Source organism: Homo sapiens, chromosome 12, assembly GCF_000001405.40.
Source record: "Homo sapiens chromosome 12, GRCh38.p14 Primary Assembly".
Classification (NCBI taxonomy): Eukaryota; Metazoa; Chordata; class Mammalia; order Primates; family Hominidae; genus Homo; species Homo sapiens.
Window position 1 is genome coordinate 72630410 of NC_000012.12, and position 20645 is coordinate 72651054.

The 20645-nt window shown below is 36.0% G+C and overlaps 1 protein-coding gene across 4 annotated transcripts in view, besides 1 other annotated feature; it reads left to right on the forward strand.

Moving 5' to 3' along the window:
* TRHDE (thyrotropin releasing hormone degrading enzyme) overlaps nt 1–20645 on the forward strand; it is a 583493-nt gene that overhangs the window by 543144 nt on the left and 19704 nt on the right. The window lies entirely within an intron of this gene.
* Nucleotides 9251–9799: an enhancer, noted in NCBI's record as "NANOG-H3K27ac-H3K4me1 hESC enhancer chr12:73033440-73033988 (GRCh37/hg19 assembly coordinates)". NCBI's record gives its function as "activates a minimal SCP1, AML or CMV promoter by ChIP-STARR-seq in naive H9 embryonic stem cells {active_cell/tissue: H9 hESC(naive)}" and the evidence as "EXISTENCE:reporter gene assay evidence [ECO:0000049][PMID:30033119]".

Genomic DNA, 20645 nt, shown 5'->3' on the forward strand with positions numbered 1-20645 from the left:
GGGTATATTTTCCCTTAGAGTCTTCAGGATAAACCCACCATGGTTTTGAACTTCTGCTCTCAGACCAGCGAGAGAATAAATTTCTGTGATTTCAAGCCACCAAGTTTATGGTAATTTATTTGGCAGCTCTAGAAAACTAATGCACACACCTTCAGTCTCTGCCTTATATTCAAGCCTTGATGTATAATCAGTAGTTTTGATTTTTTTCCTTTGTTTGATGGAATATCAGGGAGGTATTGCAAATTAAATTTTTCACTTTAACAAACTTCATCCTTATTTTTACTTAAGATTTACATTAAGAAAAGGAGGAATAAAAATACTGAGGATGCAGTTTCTTCTTGTTGCTCACAAAATTAAGATAAAATTATAATCATCAGCCATTATAATATTATTTTTAACTGTATAGGGAAAAAATCATGGGAGTGATCCATTCAATGAAATAGAATAATATATGGAAATTTCCCTAAAATTCATAGCAAAAAAAAAAAAAACCTACCCATACTTATTTTTCAGGATCTCTTTACTTCTAACTATTAGAGTTCCTTCATTTTTTTCTTTCTAATGACTTGAGATTCCACTTATAATTATGAAATCAAATAGAAAAAAATAAAGTGACTTATATTTAATTTTCATATATAAATAAACCTTATTTTATCCTATTTAATAGGATATTATATTTAATTTTCATATATAAATATTATTTCATCCTGAGATATACAGAGCAGGCATTCAACATGTACTGTTTACTCATTTTCTTCAGACATATGTAATACCATAACCAATTACATGTATATATGCATGTATACACCTTAAATATTTCAATTTTTCACAAAATAATAAACCATGTCAACTCTTTTAAAATCTATTTCTCAGGTATACCATCTCACAATGCAAAATGCCCCTTTTTGCCTAATTTGTAACTTTTTCATTCAATTATGCCATCCTCCTTTTTGCCAGAAGCTAGGTTATTTTGTTTTGTTTTCAATAATTTTCTGTTACTTCATAAAATAGGACTAGATTCTTAACTATTTAAGTGAGTATCCTTTGTCAAATTTAATTATATCAGTATTCCTTAAAATACACATATATATGAAATTCATAATGCATTTCACTGCTTTTCACGTAAAAAGAAAACAGGAAGCTCAAAATACATTTCAGCAAAATCATAGAACATCTCGGCTTGGATGTGAATAAGAAAATTTCTCTTTTTAAAAAGTACAGCATTTTTTAATATGATGAATCAATTAAATACAACTGTCAATTAAAGGCCTAGAGAATTGTATTTTGAGCAATACACATAAACACGCACACAAGTAGCAAAATTTGTTTTGGCCAAAATAAAATCCATTTTTGGTTGGGAAACTTTTAATTGAGAAAAATGTATTATTGTTCTTCTACTCAAGACAGCTTTATGGTTATGCCAAAAAACTCAACAAAATGGCAATAATCAATTCTTCCCAGTCTGAGGAATCAGCCTTGTTAATCTCAGTGTCCTTGACAGTTCATTAGAGATTAAGGTAAACCACATTTGCACTGATTCCTCACATTTTTGGAAGTAGTACGTTGATGGATAAGATAAATCTGTGTAATTTTTCAACATTTCTGTGAAGAATACAAAAGATGATGACAATTGCTATAAATCATCCTGAGCAACAAATGTTATTTGTCGAGATGTAGCCTAATATAATCCAGTGGGGCTTTCATAGACACTCAGACCTGGGTCGTGATTTGAATGAGGACAGTGCTTGTGTATTTGCTATGGTAACTAATGTTTCATTCTTATAATTTATCTTTCATCTTAAGAAGTTAAGCTAAAGTGCTAATTCCCAATTACTGTGATTCAGACAACACCATTAATTTTTGTTTCTATAGTTAGGCTTTATATGATAGCAGGTACTTAGATTTACAGTGCCCTGACCAGAGCTGAGTGAAGAAGCAGTTTAAATATTCATAGTCAGGATGGAGCAGATGAGTTGAAAAGCCAAGGATAAGAGGCAGGCGATTATCAGGATACAATTTCTCATCTTTAACAAACACTGGAGTCTATAAATAGGGCAATTTATCAGCCATTTCACAACTTCTACTACAATTGTATACCTCTTAAGTATTAAATTATGTTATGCTCTTAGAGCTATTTATATTGGCAGCCTGCTGTTCAGTGTTTTAGACTGAGTCATCATAGATATCTTAATTTTTCTACCTATAAAGCATTTTTTAACTCTTTTAGGTATAATTGGTGCTGGATATATTGCAAGAAAATCATAAGGGTTCTTAAATACCCAGCATTTAGGCTTTTCAGTAGGATGTGTTTAACATTGGACCAAAAAAAAAAAAAAAACTAGACAAGTCACGAATTTTCCTCTATTTGCTTTTTTTCTTTACCTTTTTGTAGGTCTTTATCATTCTTGCCTTTGTCATTCACAATGAATTTTTTGGCCTCTGTGCATTTCTCACTTGTGTTGTTTCTGTCTTTTTACTTTTCCTTTGATGTCTCCTTTTTGACCTTTTCTTTTTAATGTTATCTGGGCCACTCAGTTTCTTATGTTTTTGTGCTTTGGCAATTATATTTTATAAAGTGATCTTATAGCCCAGCTACTTAACGTTCATCATCCCTCTTTCTGACTATCCAATTTTATTTCTGCAGAATTAATAGCAATTTTATATATGGAACTTAAACCTTTAAAAAGTAATTTCATATATATTACTTAAACTTAGATCAAGTGAGTGTCCCTTTCAAAGTACATTTACCTTAATTTTAAAAGCCACTTGAAAGGAGTGCAGTTACTTTAAAGAGTAATCTTTTGATAGATTTAGGCTGTTAAGAGTTAAGATCCCTTGTCCCCCACCAGCAAGTCTCTTTCTTTTCATATAGAAAGAGCTGCATATGCCTCTTTGCAAACATGCAAAATTAAAATATTAAGAAGTACTGAATATCATTTTAGAACATATTCAGATAATTTTAAATACATTTATTCTGTTCTCCACCAGGTTTCTCCAATGCTATTCTTTTGAATTTCACAGGGCCATTGCAGACTGTTTTTTGGACTACCTTTTCCTTTGTTTCGAGATTTTCCTATTTCTTTTGGTTATACTTAAGGTTCAGTGGGAATGCAAATGCTGTTTAGGCACAAGTGAGAAAGCTCCCTAGAAACAGAACCACCCTAGCTTCAGCATGAAAGGTGCCTAGCAAACAGCATTGCTTCCTAGTGATCTTTCCACCCATCACTGACTATGCGTTTCACTTGGGATTCTGTATCCTCTTTGCTAGGGGGCATTGTAGAGATTTCTAGAAACCATATTCTTCCTGGTTGCCAGGGTTTTTATGAATTTAGTGGTACTATATTTGATTGACAAGTATACTAGTAAAGTTAGGTGGGATTATAAAAGTGTATTTTATTATAATGCTTTAAACTTGAGACATATTATCAATCATGTTTTTCAATAAATTACTCATTCACTTTCAGTGAGATTCTTATTTTTACTACTGCTTTTTAAAAATTCCATTACTCATTTGGGAAAGATGGTTGTTATTCCATTTCAATAATAATAAAAATAATGAGGAGGAGGAGTGTCATTATCAAATATTGAGAACAATTTGCTATTTTCCCAGAACTGGGCAGTGCACATTGTGGAGATAAAGCCCCTGCCAAACCCTTTATATACACTAGGCCCTGTGCTAAGCACTGGACAGACATCTCATTTAATCATTGTAACAGCCCTGTAAGGAATTATTATCCCCATTTTCCAGAAGGGGAAACTGACACATAGGCACAAAAAGTTGCCCATTCCTTCTAAACAGCATTAGGTTCTATTCACAGTGGCTTCATTAGCAGCAGACAAGAGGCTAAAGAATGAGAATAGAAAGAAATGAGAATAGAGGACACTATGAACAAGGTCAAACTTTGTAAATGCAGGTTATTTTTCAGTTTGCTATTTCAAAGTCATGAATTTCCTATCCCCATAGAGGTAAGGGTGTAAGCATTTGTAAGGCAGAACAAGATTTGGAATATTTTCTTTTTTTTTTTTTTAACCAATGCATGAGTTTTAATTGGATGCTAGTTTCAGAGGGAAAACATCTTTTTTTTTAATTGTTAATTTATTATTATTATACTTTAAGTTTTAGGGTACATGTGCACAATGTGCACGTTACTTACATATGTATACATGTGCCATGCTGGTACGCTGCAACCACTAACTCGTCATCTAGCATTAGGTATATCTCCCAGTGCTATCCCTCCCCCCTCCCCCCAACCCACAACAGTCCCCAGAGTGTGATGTTCCCCCTCCTGTGTCCATGTGTTCTCATTGTTCAATTCCCACCTATGAGTGAGAATATGCGGTGTTTGGTTTTTTGTTCTTGTGATAGTTTACTGAGAATGATGATTTCCAATTTCATCCATGTCCCTACAAAGGACATGAACTCATCATTTTTTATGGCTGCATAGTATTCCATGGTGTATATGTGCCACATTTTCTTAATCCAGTCTATCATTGATGGACCTTTGGGTTGGTTCCAAGTCTTTGCTGTTGTGAATAATGACACAATAAACATACATGTGCATGTGTCTTTATAGCAGCATGATTTATAGTCCTTTGGGTATATACCCAGTAATGGGATGGCTGGATCAAATGGTATTTCTAGTTCTAGATCCCTGAGGAATCGCCACACTGACTTCCACAATGGTTGAACTAGTTTACAGTCCCACCAACAGTGTAAAAGTGTTCCTATTTCTCCACATCCTCTCCAGCACCTGTTGTTTCCTGACTTTTTAATGATTGCCATTCTAACTGGTGTGAGATGGTATCTCATTGTGGTTTTGATTTGCATTTCTTTGATGGCCAGTGATGGTGAGCATTTTTTCATGTGTTTTTTGGCTGCATAAATGTCTTCTTTTGAGAAGTGTCTGTTCATGTCCTTTGCCTACTTTTTGATGGGGTTGCTTGTTTTTTTCTTGTAAATTTGTTTGAGTTCATTGTAGATTCTGGATATTAGCCCTTTGTCAGATGAGTAGGTTGCGAAAATTTTCTCCCATTCTGTAGGTTGCCTGTTCACTCTGATGGTAGTTTCTTTTGCTGTGTAGAAGCTCTTTAGTTTAATGAGATCCCATTTGTCAATTGTGGCTTTTGTTGCCATTGCTTTTGGTGTTTTAGACATGAAGTCCTTGCCCGTGCCTATGTCCTGAATGGTAATGCCTAGGTTTTCTTCTAGGGTTTTTATGGTTTTAGGTCTAACGTTTAAGTCTTTAATCCATCTTGAATTGATTTTTGTATAAGGTGTAAGGAAGGGATCCAGTTTCAGCTTTCTACATATGGCTAGCCAGTTTTCCCAGCACCATTTATTAAATAGGGAATCCTTTCCCCATTGCTTGTTTTTCTCAGGTTTGTCAAAGACCAGATAGTTGTAGATATGCAGCATTATTTCTGAGGGCTCTGTTCTGTTCCATTGATCTATATCTCTGTTTTGGTACCAGTACCATGCTCTTTTGGTTACTGTAGCCTTGTAGTATAGTTTGAAGTCAGGTAGCATGATGCCTCCAGCTTTGTTCTTTTGGCTTAGGATTGACTTGGCGATGTGGGCTCTTTTTTGGTTCCATATGAACTTTAAAGTAGTTTTTTCCAATTCTGTGAAGAAAGTCATTGGTAGCTTGATGGGGATGGCATTGAATCTGTAAATTACCTTGGGCAGTATGGCCATTTTCATGATATTGATTCTTCCTACCCATGAGCATGGAATGTTCTTCCATGTGTTTGTATCCTCTTTTATTTCATTGAGCAGTGGTTTGTAGTTCTCCTTGAAGAGGTCCTTCAGATCCCTTGTAAGTTGGATTCCTAGGTATTTTATTCTCTTTGAAGCAATTGTGAATGGGAGTTCACTCATGATTTGGCTCTCTGTTTGTCTGTTGTTGTTGTATAAGAATGCTTGTGATTTTTGTACATTGATTTTGTATCCTGAGACTTTGCTGAAGTTGCTTATCAGCTTAAGGAGATTTTGGGCTGAGACAATGGGGTTTTCTAGATATACAATCATGTTGTCTGCAAACAGGGACAATTTGACTTCCTCTTTTCCTAATTGAATACCCTTTATTTCCTTCTCCTGCCTAATTGCCCTGGCCAGAACTTCCAACACTATGTTGAATAGGAGTGGTGAGAGAGGGCATCCCTGTCTTGTGCCAGTTTTCAAAGGGAATGCTTCCAGTTTTTGCCCATTCAGTATGATATTGGCTATGGGTCTGTCATAGATAGCTCTTATTATTTTGAAGTACGTCCCATCAATACCTAATTTATTGAAAGTTTTTAGCATGAAGAGTTGTTGAATTTTGTCAAAGGCCTTTTCTGCATCTATTGAGACAATCATGTGGTTTTTGTCTTTGGTTCTATTTATATGCTGGATTACATTTATTGATTTGCATATATTGAACCAGCCTTGCATCCCAGGGATGAAGCCCACTTGATCATGGTGGATAAGCTTTTTGATGTGCTGCTGGATTCGTTTTGCCAGTATTTTATTGAGGATTTTTGCATCAATGTTCATCAAGGATATTGGTCTAAAATTCTCTTTTTTGGTTGTGTCTCTGCCAGGCTTTGGTATCAGGATGATGCTGGCCTCATAAATGAGTTAGGGAGGATTCCCTCTTTTTCTATTGATTGGAATAGTTTCAGAAGGAATGGTACCAGTTCCTCCTTGTACCTCTGGTAGAATTCGGCTGTGAATCCATCTGGTCCCGGACTCTTTTTGGTTGGTAAGCTATTGATTATTGCCACAATTTCAGATCCTGTTATTGGTCTATTCAGAGATTCAACTTCTTCCTGGTTTAGTCTTGGGAGAGTGTTTGTGTCGAGGCATTTATCCATTTCTTCTAGATTTTCTAGTTTATTTGCATAGAGGTGTTTGTAATATTCTCTGATGGTAGTTTGTATTTCTGTGGGATTGGTGGTGATATCCCCTTTATCATCTTTTATTGCATCTATTTGATTCTTTTCTCTTTTTTTCTTTATTAGTCTTGCTAGCGGTCTATCAATTTTGTTGATCCTTTCAAAAAACCAGCTCCTGGATTCATTAATTTTTTGAAGGGTTTTTTGTGTCTCTATGTCCTTCAGTTCTGCTCTGATTTTAGTTATTTCTTGCCTTCTGCTAGCTTTTGAATGTGTTTGCTGTTGCTTTTCTAGTTCTTTTAATTGTGATGTTAGGGTGTCAATTTTGGATCTTTCCTGCTTTCTCTTGTGGGCATGTAGTGCTATAAATTTGCCTCTACACACTGCTTTGAATGCGTCCCAGAGATTCTGGTATGTTGTGTCTTTGTTCTTGTTGGTTTCAAAGAACACCTTTATTTCTGCCTTCATTGTGTTATGTACCCAGTAGTCATTCAGGAGCAGGTTGTTCAGTTTCCATGTAGTTGAGTGGTTTTGAGTGAGATTCTTAATCCTGAGTTCTAGTTTGATTGCACTGTGGTCTGAGAGATAGTTTGTTATAATTTCTGTTCTTTTACATTTGCTGAGGAGAGCTTTACTTCCAAGTATGTGGTCCGTTTTGGAATAGGTGTGGTGTGGTGCTGAAAAAAATGTATATTCTGTCGATTTGGGGTGGAGAGTTCTGTAGATGTCTATTAGGTCCGCTTGGTGCAGAGCTGAGTTCAATTCCTGGGTATCCTTGTTGACTTTCTGTCTCGTTGATCTGTCTAATGTTGACAGTGGGGTGTTAAAGTCTCCCATTATTAATGTGTGGGAGTCTAAGTCTCTTTGTAGGTCACTCAGGACTTGCTTTATGAATCTGGGTGCTCCTGTATTGGGTGCATATATATTTAGGATAGTTAGCTCTTCTTGTTGAATTGATCCCTTTACCATTATGTAATGGCCTTCTTTGTCTCTTTTGATCTTTGTTGGTTGAAAGTCTGTTTTATCAGAGACTAGGATTGCAACCCCTGCCTTTTTTTGTTTTCCATTTGCTTGGTAGATCTTCTTCCATCCCTTTATTTTGAGCCTATGTTTGTCTCTGCACGTGAGATGGGTTTCCTGAATACAGCACACTGATGGGTCTTGACTCTTTATCCAATTTGCCAGTCTGTGTCTTTTAATTGGAGCATTTAGTCCATTTACATTTAAAGTTAATATTGTTATGTGTGAATTTGATCCTGTCATTATGATGTTAGCTGGTGATTTTGCTTATTAGTTGATGCAGTTTCTTCCTAGTCTCGATGGTCTTTACATTTTGGCATGATTTTGCAGCGGCTGGTACCGGTCGTTCCATTCCATGTTTAGTGCTTCCTTCAGGAGCTCTTTTAGGGCAGGCCTGGTGGTGACAAAATCTCTCAGCATTTGCTTGTCTGTAAAGTATTTTATTTCTCCTTCACTTATGAAGCTTAGTTTGGCTAGATATGAAATTCTGGGTTGAAAATTCTTTTCTTTAAGAATGTTGAATATTGGCCCCCTCTCTCTTCTGGCTTGTAGGGTTTCTGCTGAGAGATCTGCTGTTAATCTGATGGGCTTCCCTTTGAGGGTAACCCGACCTTCCTCTCTGGCTGCCCTTAACATTTTTTCCTTCATTTCAACTTTGGTGAATCTGACAATTATGTGTCTTGGAGTTGCTCTTCTCGAGGAGTATCTTTGTGGCATTCTCTGTATTTCCTGAATCTGAATGTTGGCCTGCCTTGCTAGATTGGGGAAGTTCTCCTGGATAATATCCTGCAGAGTGTTTTCCAACTTGGTTCCATTCTCCCCATCACTTTCAGGTACACCAATCAGACGTAGATTTGGTCTTTTCACATAGTCCCATATTTCTTGGAGGCTTTGCTCATTTCTTTTTATTCTTTTTTCTCTAAACTTCCTTTCTCGCTTCATTTCATTCATTTCATCTTCCATCGCTGATACCCTTTCTTCCAGTTGATTGCATCGGCTCCTGAGGCTTCTGCATTCTTCACGTAGTTCTCGAGCCTTGGTTTTCAGCTCCATCAGCTCCTTTAAGCACTTCTCTGTATTGGTTATTCTAGTTATACATTCTTCTAAACTTTTTTCAAAGTTTTAAACTTCTTTGCCTTTGGTTTGAATGTCCTCCCGTAGCTCGGAGTAATTTGATCATCTGAAGCCTTCTCTCAGCTCATCAAAGTCATTCTCCGTCCAGCTTTGTTCCGTTGCTGGTGAGGAACTGCGTTCCTTTGGAGGAGGAGAGGCGCTCTGCTTTTTAGAGTTTCCAGTTTTTCTGCTCTGTTTTTTCCCCATCTTTGTGGTTTTATCTACTTTTGGTCTTTGATGATGGTGATGTACAGATGGGTTTTTGGTGTGGATGTCCTTTCTGTTTGTTAGTTTTCCTTCTAACAGACAGGACCCTCAGCTGCAGGTCTGTTGGAGTACCCGGCCGTGTGAGGTGTCAGTCTGCCCCTGCTAGGGGGTGCCTCCCATTTAGGCTGCTCGGGGGGTCAGCAGTCAGGGACCCACTTGAGGAGGCAGTCTGCCCGTTCTCAGATCTCCAGCTGCGTGCTGGGAGAACCACTGCTCTCTTCAAAGCTGTCAGACAGGGACACTTAAGTCTGTAGAGGTTACTGCTGTCTTTTTGTTTGTCTGTGCCCTGCCCCCCAGAGGTGGAGCCTACAGAGGCAGGCAGGCCTCCTTGAGCTGTGGTGGGCTCCACCCAGTTCCAGCTTCCCTGCTGCTTTGTTTACCTAAGCAAGCCTGGGCAATGGTGGACGCCCCTCCCCCAGCCTCGCTGCCGCCTTGCAGTTTGATCTCAGACTGCTGTGCTAGCAATCAGCGAGACTCCGTGGGCGTAGGACCCTCCGAGCCAGGTGCGGGACACAATCTCCTGGTGTGCTGTTTTTTAAGCCCGTCGGAAAAGCACAGTATTCGGGTGGGAGTGACCCGATCTTCCAGGTGCCGTCTGTCACCCCTTTCTTTGACAAGGAAAGGGAACTCCCTGACCCCCTGCGCTTCCCGAGTGAGGCAATGCCTCGCCCTGCTTTGGCTCGCGCACGGTGCGTGCACCCACTGACCTGCGCCCACTGTCTGGCACTTCCTAGTGAGATGAACCCGGTACCTCAGATGGAAATGCAGAAATCACCCGTCTTCTGCATCGCTCACACTGGGAGCTGTAGACCGGAGCTGTTCCTATTCGGCCATCTTCTTCACTTACTTTTTCAATCCTTTGTTTCTTTATCAAATTATAGCTTCTTAGCATCAGAAAATTTTTGCCTGAAACAGTGACTTCTTTTTTAGAAATGGAGCTCTGAGTTCGATCTAAGTCTTAAAGTAATAAGGTTCACGCATCAATGCAGAAATCACCCGTCTTCTGCATCGCTCATGCTGGGAGCTGTAGACCGGAGCTGTTCCTATTTGGCCATCTTGGCTCCTCTCCAGATTTGGAATATTTTCAAGGAAGCCTCCACCAGAGGTTTTAATTTTCAGTTAGAGTAGGCAAACAATCCTTCAAATGAATTAATTAATTATAAATTAATTGTTAGGCCTCACTCTAAATCAATGGCACGTATACTACCACTGAAAGAATGAGGTGCTCTTAGAGAGGCTAGTGGTTTGAGAAATGTTTTTCATTGTCTTGGAAAATAATTAAATCCACATTTCAGTGTTAATACAATCACTAATGAAAGAATCTTGTACTCACAGAGCAAGAAGGGACTTTAGGACTCATGTGTTTATCCCTGTCCAATTAGGGTAAAAAATGAAGCCCAAAGAAATGACCTTGACTTACCTGGATCTAGAGGCAGTTACTGGTCAAATTAGGTCTGCCAAAAACTTGCTTAGAAATAGACTTATGTCATAAGTATCAAAATTTGTATTTTAAATATTTTTTTCTTTGGCAAGTATAATTTTCCTCTGTAAGATATTTTAAATTTATCTCTACATATTATTCAACAGCATTTTTATATATTGAATGTGTTTTCTTCTAACAGTAACAGAATTTATTTTTACAAATGTAATTATACATTTACTTATTTCCAAACTAATTATAAAAGTTATTAAAGGATTTCCAAAATATATGAGTTTAAGAAAAGAAAGAGTAGTTACCTATAATGACCAAACCCTGAGGCAGATGTTAAGATCCTCGTCTGTCCTTTCAGTCTATTTTTACTAAGAACGTACACATTATGTTATTTTTGTAAACTTATGCAATGGTATTATACATATTATTCATTAATATATGCATTCTACTTTATCTTTGGTATATTTTATTATATGACTAATTATTAATCTATATCATTGTCAGTTGCTATTTGTATGTTAACTTAAACCAGTGCCTTATTGTTGATTTATTAGTTGAGTTCAGATTTTCTACCGCAAAGCAATGAAAACATTCACAGCAAAATCTTTGGAGACTGTCTTATTTATCTTATTAATTCATTTCACTGTTTTTCATTTAATAACTAAAATACCAATTCACTATGATTTAGTTTCATTCCACTGTTTTTATGAATGAATGACATATTTTTCATTCCACAGTTTTTATGAATGAACAATATATTTTTCTCCCAAATTTGTATGTTGAAATCCTAACCCCCAATATGATAGTATTAGGAAGTAGGGTCTTTGGGAGCTAAATCACAGTTTGTGATGCTGAAGCCCTCACAATGTGATTAAAGACCTCATGAAAGAAACCCCAGATTGTTTTTTAGCCCTGTTTCTGCCACGTGAGAATGCAAGAAGTCAGCAGTCTACAACCTGGCAGGAGGTCCTCTCAAGAACCTGACCATGCTGTTACCCTAGTCTCAGACATAGCCTCCAGTGCTGTGAGAAATAAATTTCTATTGTTTATAAGCCTCCCAGTATATGGTACTTTGTCATAGCTGTTCAGACTAAGGCAGCCATCATTATTATTTAACTTGGTGAAACATTTTTCCTGAAAGATGCATGTCTTTATTTTTCTACCTACTTAATTTTTTCACTTTTACTTCTAAAGCATTTGCTTTGAGTAAGATAACAAAGTTAAATATATCAGTAAAATATGAAAGTAAATTATTTCACAATGATACACTGAACTTCTATGCTTTCAAAAGTGTTATCGTACAAAGAACTCTGTCACAATCCTATTTAAAATGAGAATGGAATAAACTATCAAACAAGTTACTCTAATTAGGTAATAATTTCTGTAATGTCAGTATCCTAAAAAAGATGAAGGTATTTTATTTTGGCTAAGCATTACCCCGGGATTCATCTTGTATGAGGGTAGCTAGGAGAGGCTAACTCATTGTTCATGTTTATCATGTATACCGTACCTAGAGAAAAACAAACACAGTTTTCCTTCCCAGATAATAAAATTCTATTAAAGAATTTAATTCTCAAGCAGTGTTTAAAGAGAAATGACTGTGGGAATATTCACATTCTTATAAACAATTTCCATGTTCACTAGGAGGGGCCCTCTCCTTGTAATCCTAATATCAAGAGTCTCACAGGACTCATTTGTACTGTTCATAACTGTGGGTTCTGTGGGGTGTTTTTAGCTCACGCTTTACAAACAAATGGGCATTTTCATTTGTTTCTAATGACTTTGGTTTATACAAAGAGATCTTAAACTGTCCCTAGAGCAATCATTTTGCTGAAATGTTATTAGAACATCTTTACAAATTTAGCAACAAAAGGGGGTTTCATTAACAATGGAAGTCATTGGGAACTGAAGGCCCCTGGCATATCCGGTGCTTACCAATCTTGTTTCATTTATAGGCATGAGTAAAAATGATCTTGTGAACTTTAGATTGATTCATCTGCTGCATGGATAAAAAACATGAGGAGTTGATGGGGTGAGAAGAGGTGCTATTTGTTCTCTTCTAAGGAGTCATTTAAACCTATGCAATTGTACCTATTAGCAACTGCTAATAGGGCTATTTCTTCCCTGATATTTTGAGGATTTGTAGCTGAGACTGAGGACTATTTTTCAATGGACCATCAACATGCTTTAAGTTGTATATGTAAATATATGTGTGTTTCATTTTCATAGTAATGACATTTCATCAAATTTGATATCTCTGCTATGTGACGAACAGCCATTGAGAAGACTGAAACTTGACCAGCAGTTTTTTGTAAAGCACATTCAAAGTATGCAGTCTTTCTCTTGATTTGAGGCTACAGATACAAATATAGAACCTGCCCTTGTTCTAGGCAGCTTTGCCTTCAGAGACCTTCTTTGCCCTGTATTTGTGTTAGATTCCTTCAGGGTGGTCTATCTGTTATTTTATCCATTTGTGTTAGATTCCTTCAGGGTGGTCTGTCTGTCATTTTATCCAACATTTTATTGCTGAATGTCCTTTCAGAATCTCTTCTTCTTGCTCTGCATATGACCAGCTTGCCATACAGTAGCTCCTTAAGTATACTGCTACTTTATGTCCTTTTAACTCACCCAGAGGCTGTGTTTTAACAAGTATCACTTCAATGCTGGTGAACAGAATGAATACTTATTGTCAGAAATCCAGTCTTTCCAACATCAAACATTTATCAAAGATGACTGATTAAACTGTGGATTTTTAAAAAAAGTAATTAAAAAAAGTTACAGGTAACATTTGTGTACAGTTCAACTCTCAGAAGATTATATGCTGGATGCCTTGGTATTACTCTGTGGCTCACTGGTTAGGCCCAGGTCATGGCAATGATACCCTCTTGAAGGGTATACAATGTTTGGTGTGGTGTCAGCAAGATGGTAGAGCAGGAAGCACTAGATTCTTCTTCCTTTGACAAACACAATGATTCAGCAACAATTTATGGGCATATTCCCTTAGTGAGAAATCCAGAAACTAATTGAAATGTTCCTGTATCATTAGTGAGTGTAAAACCACTCATCAAAGCTAGTAGAGAGATTCAGGACACACATTTATCAGAATCTCTACTCCCTAGCACATAGGCAAATGATCAGAAAGAGAATTCCTCCTCCCGGCTTCTCCCAGGGGAGAAATGAGGTAGGTTCATGCATCGAGTATCTTACCATTTTCAAGGGTATCCCCAGAAGACTGGCTTCTGTCTTGCCTGCCTTGGAACTCTAAAAAGTCTAGCACAATCTAGCCGTGTGAGGGAGAATGGAGATGGTGGCTTGAGCAAGAGATGCCATATTTTTTTTTCCCCTTGGTCAGCACAGAGTGATGGGAAAAGAAAAATCCCAATTCTTGACAGCCTCTTAGGGAGAGATTTGATCCATGCTTCCAGTGCTTCAACGTTTCTGGTGCTGCCCAAAGAATGAGCATTTGCTTTACTAGTCTTGGAGCTCTGACAGATCTGCCATAGTCTAGCTAGCTGGAGGAAGACAGAGATAGGAGTTTGGACTAATAAGTGTCATAGATCTTTTCTACTGCTCAGCACAGAGCAAATAGAGGGAAAATCCCAGCTCTTGGTTTCCCCATGGGGAGGGAAAGAGTTGAACTGTGCATCTACTGCTCAAACTTCTCTGGGGCACCCCAAAGAATTAACATTCTACTTCTCAGTCTTGGCATTCTGATGGGCCTGGTGCAGGCTAGCCACTGAGGGGAGAACAGAAGCAGTGGCTTGGACTGTTAAGACACTGCAGCTTCTCCCCAGCTCAGCACAGAGCAAGCAGACAAAACCACAGCTACCTGCTTCTCCCTGGGAATAAAGACAGTTAGTAGAGGTTCCCAGAATCTCTAGCTAGGCTATTGGGTGAGTATCTTCTTCTGTACAAGGCCAGTTTGTGAATTTGGAGAATTGATTAACGTGTAGACATGAACTGATAGTCAGAAAAAAATAAAAATCTAGGAAAGATGTCCCAAACAAAGGAACAAGATAAGTCTTCAAAAGTTGACCATAATGAAACATATGATTTACCTGACAGATACTTCAAAAAAACTATCATAAAGAAGATCACTGAAGTCAAGAGTACAGTGCATTAAAAAATGATAATTTAAACAAGGAGATATAAAACATTTAAAAGTACTAAACAGGTGATGAAGCTGAACAACACAATAACGTAACTGAAAAATTTACTGTTAATAGAAGGGTTAAACAGCAGATCAGACTCGTGAAGATGGATTGATCAGCAACCTTAAAGACAAGTATTTAAAAATTTACTTAAAAGAGCAAAAATGTAAAATAATGAAAAGAAGTGAACAAAGCTTAAGGGACTTTTGGGATACCAGCAAATGGACCAATATATACATCATGTAAGTCCAAGAAGCAGAAAATAAAGAGAAAGGACTAGACAGCTCTTTCAAAGATATAATGGCTGAAAACTTCACAAATCTAGAGAACGAAATGGACATTCAGAAGCAAAAAACCCAAACACCCCAAATAGTGACCCTAAGGAAATGTACATCAAGACACATTATAATTAAATTGGCAAAAGTAAAAAAGAGAATTTTGAAAGCAGCAAAAGTAAAGTGACTTGGCACCTGCTAAGGAACACTTACAGAAATATCAAAAGATTTTTCAGCAGAAATCTTGCAAGCTAGAAGGAAGTGGGATGATATATTCAAAATGCTGAAAGGAAAAAGAAAATTGTCAACCAAGAAAACTATACAAGCAATAATGTCATTTACAAATAAAAGAAAAATAATGACTTTCTCGGACAAATAAAAGCCAAGTGAGGTCATCACCAGCAGACTTGCCTTGAAAGAAATGCTAAAGGAAATTCTTCAAGTTGAAATAAAAGGATGCTAAACAGCAACAAAATAGCATAAGAAAGTATGAAACTCACTGGTAAAAATCAACATATATATAAATACAAATACTTTATTACTGTAATGGTGGTGGGTAAATAATTTTTAATTCTAGTATAAAATTTAAATGACAAAAGTATTAAAATGAGTATGACTAAAATATATTAAAAGGTACACAATATGAATAGGTACAAATTGTGAAAACAATAACAGTGTGAGGACAGGAGTTAAATTGTGGAGTTTTTGTGTACATTTAAGCTTAAGTTGTTATCAGCTTAAAATAGACTGTTATAAGATATGTATACATCAAGGTAAGCACACTAATAAAGCCCTAGAAGTTACATAAAAGAGAGGGAAAAACAAATCACAGCATATCAATATAAAAACTCAAAAAAAGGAAGATGGCAAAAGAGAAAAAGACAGGAAAAAAATGAGACCAATGGAAAACAATTTTGTTAAAATGGCAAAAATAAATTCTTCCCTATCAATATTACCTTGGATATAAATGGATTAAACTTCCCAATCAAAAAAAAGTGGCTGAATGGATTAACAAAGCAAGACCTACATGCACAGTGTTGGTAAGAGTCTCACTTTAGCTTTAAGGACACATATAGGCTGAGAGTGAAGGGATGGAAAAAGATACTCTTTGCAAATGGAAAAGCAGAAGAAAGCAGGTGTAGCTATGTCTATATAAGACAAAACAGACTTTAAGTCAAAAACCATCACAAAAACAAAGAAGGGCACTATATTATAATAAAAGTGTCAAACCACTAGAAAGATATAACAAATTATAAACATATATGCATTCAACATTAGAGCACCTAAATATATAAAGCCAATATTGACAGAACTGAAGGGAGAAATAAAAAACATTAAAAATAGCAGTATTCAACTTTTAATAATAAATAAAATATCCAGACAGAAGATCAATAAGGAAAGAGAGGGCTTACAACACTATAAACCAAATGGACTTAACAGACATACACAGAATATCCTACCGTCCGACAACAGAATATACATTCTTCTCAAGCACACATATAACTTTCTCCAAGTTGGATTACATGTTAGGTCATAAAACAAGTCTTAACAAATTTAAGAAGATTGAAATTATACCACATACTTTTCCTAAACAAAATGAAGTGAAACTACAAATCAATAGCAAAAAGAAAATGGAAAAGTTTACAAATATGTGGATTAAGCAAGATACTCTTGAACAACAATTGAGTCAAGAAGAAATCCAAAAGGAAAGTAAAAACTACATCAAGACAAAAATGAAAGCACAATGAATGCACATCATACTGAAACTTATGGGATACAGTAAAAGCAGTACTAAGAGGGAAGTTTATTGTGATAAATACCTATATTTATAATGACCTGAAACTACCTTTACACCTCAAGGAGATAGAAAAAGAAGAACAAACTATCCACATAGTTAGCAAAAGGGAGGAAATAACAAAGATAAGAACAAAAAAAATGGAAAATAGAAAAACAATAGAATAAATCAGACAAGATAAAATTGATAAATCTTAAACTAGATTAATTAATGAAAAAGAGAGAAGACTCAAATAAAAACAGAAATGAAGGAGTAGATATTACAACTGATGCCACAGACATAAAGAGGATCAAAAGAAACTACTATGAACAATTATATGCCAACAAATGAAATAACAGAAAAATGGACACGCTTCTACAAAATATAGCTTATCAAGACTAATCAATGAAGAATTGGCAAGTCTGTACAGATCTATAACTGGGATGGAGATTGAATTAGTAATCAAAAACCTCTCTACAAAGAAAAACCTAGGACTAGATGACTTCACTGAAAGGTGAATTCTACCAAACATTTAAAGAATCCTGCAATCCTTCTGAAACTTTCAAAAAAATTGATGAGGAACACTTCCAAACTTATGTTACCAGCATCACCCTGGTAGCAAAGCCAGGTGAAGACATCACAAGAAATGAAAACTACAGGTAAATACCCCTATGCAGAAATCCTCTACAGAATACTAGCAGCCTGAAACCAATATTACATTAAGGGATAATACACCATGACCAGCTGGTATTTATCTCTGAGATGCGAGGATGCTTCCACATACAAAAATCAATTAATGTTATATACCACCTTATTAGAATAAACGATAAAAATCACATGATCATCTCAATAAATACAAAGCACTGACAAAATTTAACATCCTTTCATGATAAAAAAAAATTCTCAACAAATAAGGAATAAAAGGGAAGTGCCTCAACATAATTAAGGCCATATATGAAAAGCCTGCAATTAACATTATACTCAATGGTGAAAAATTGAAAGCTTTTCCTCTACAACCAAGAACAAAATCAGAATACCTCCTTTAACCACTTGTATTAAACATAGTACTGGAAACCTTAGCCAGAGAAAATAGGGATGAAAAAGAAATAAACGGCATCCTAATTGAAAAGGGAGAAGTAAAATTGTCCGTTTGTACATGACATGATCTCATATGTTGAAATCCCTAAAGTCTCCACCAAAAACCATTAGAACTAATAAGCAAATTCAGTATATTTTCAGGATATAAAATCAACACACAAAAATCAGTAGTGTTTCTGTACACTAACAATAAACTATCTGAAAAGTAACTCAGGAAAGCAATCTCACAACAGCACCAAAAATAATAAAATAGGCTGGGCATGGCGGCTCATGCCTGTAATCTCAACACTTTGGGAGGCCAAGGTGGGAGGATCACTTGAGGCCAAGAGTTTGAGACCAACCTGGGAAACATAGAGAGACCCCATCTCTATGAAAAAAAAATACAAAAATAAACTTTCAAAAGAATAAAATACTTAGAAATAAACTGAACTAAGGAAATGAAAAATGTATGTACTAAAATCCATAAAACATTGATGAAAGAAAATAAAGAAGACACAAATGGAAAGCCATCTGATGTTCATGGATTGGAAGAATTAATATTTTAAAATTGCAATACTATCCAAAGCAATCTACAGATTTAATGCAATTTCTATCAAAATTCCAATGACACTTAAAAAAAAAACAATTCTACAATTCATATGGAACCACAAAAGACTACTTTAAATGCCAAACCTATTTTGAGAAAGGAGAACAATGCTAGAGGAATCACACTTGCTAATTTTAAAATATATTACAAAGCTACAGTGGTCAAAATAATATGGTACTATAATAAAGACCAACATATACACCAATTAAACAGAATATAAAGCCAAAAATAAATTCACAAATATATGCTCAACTGTTCTTCAACAATGGTGACAAATACACAAAAAGATAAAAAAAAAAAGATAGTGTTTTCAACAAATTGTGCTGGGAAAACTGGATGTCCACATGCAAAAGAAATAATGAAATTGGACCTTTGTTTTATATACCGTACACAAAAATCAATTCAAAATGAATTAAAGAGTTAAATGGGGCCCCAAACTGTAAACTTCTTAAAGAAATCATAGGGGAAAACTTCATGACATTGGTCTTGGCAATGATTTCATGGATATGACATCAAAAGCAGAGGCAACATAAATTGTGGGACTGCATCAAACTAAAAAGCTTCTGCACAGCAAAGGGAACAATCAACAAAAGTAAAAAGGCAACCCACAGAATGGGAGAAAATATTTGCAAACCATATATCTGAATAAGGGTTTATCTCCAAAATATATAAGACACTCCTTCAACTCAATAGGAAAACAATATTAATCCAATTACAAAAAGGGGTAAGGATTTGAAAAGACTTTTCTCACCAGATGACATAGAGGTGGCCAACAGCTATGTGAAAAAAAGTCACTAATCACCAGGAAAATGCAAATGAAAATCACAATGAAATATCACCTCACACTCAGGATAGCTATTATCAAAAAAAACAAAACACAGCAAATGTTGTCAAGGTTGTGGAGAAATCAATACCCTTCCATACTGCTTATGCGAATGCAAAATAGTGCAGCTGCTCTGGTAAACAGTATGGAATGTTCTCAAAAAACTAAAAATAGAACTACAATATAATCCAGCATCCCATTTGTAGATATTTATCTAAAAGAATTGAAATCAAAATATCAAAAACATATTAGCATTCCCAAGTTTATTGCAGCACTAGTCACATTAGCCATGATGTGGAAACAATCTAAATGTTCATCAACAGATGGATGGATAAAGGAAACGTAGTGTACACATACAATGAAATACTATTCAGCCTTTACAAAGCACGACGTTTTTCAATATTGACAATATTTATGAACCTGGAGGACTTTATGCTCAGTGAAAGAGCCAGTCACAGAAAGACAGTTATGATTCCACTTATATGAGATATTTTAAAAAGTGAAGCTTATGAAATTAAAGAGTGGAATGATGGTTGCCAGGGGCTGGGTACTTTTTACTGGTAACTGTCATATATGGCACCAGTATAGTATGTGGCACTCAAGTGCCTTCCAGGCAACATAGTTTAGTATATTCTGTTACTTTTTTTTCTATATTTCTACATGCCTTTTCTTCTTGAACATTGATATTGGAGATTGGTTCTATAGGTGATACAAAAAACCTGACTTAAGGGGCTCTATCCCTATATTCTCTCTAGTGTATTAATTGCTTAATAAATACATCTTAGAAAGTAAACTTACTATAGTATCATGCTTAATATTAAGGAAATGTACATTGATTGATGGGTTAGTGATTTCAGTAGATATTTTGTTGTTTTTTTTTCTTGCAAGTTTTTATTCACTCTTTTGGCAAAAGTAGGGCAATAATGCACTGTTGTGCTCTGTAGCCTATAAATATACAGAGGAAAAGACCCACTCTGTTTTATAGCTGTTGATTTAAGTTATTAAAGATGGAGGCATCTCCGTAATCTTAACCAGAACTGAGCACATCCTTCAAAATGTGGTGGCAATGCCTTTAGTGATTTCAGGGATGCCCTGTGTCAAGCTGGTCATAAACACAGCAGAGAGAACATGTCACCAATAATTGAGAAGGCTTTTGTTGGTACTTTCCACAGGGCTTCCAGTGCTGAGATGGAAAACAAGAGAAAGATGTGAAGCTCTTTAATGGTTTATTCT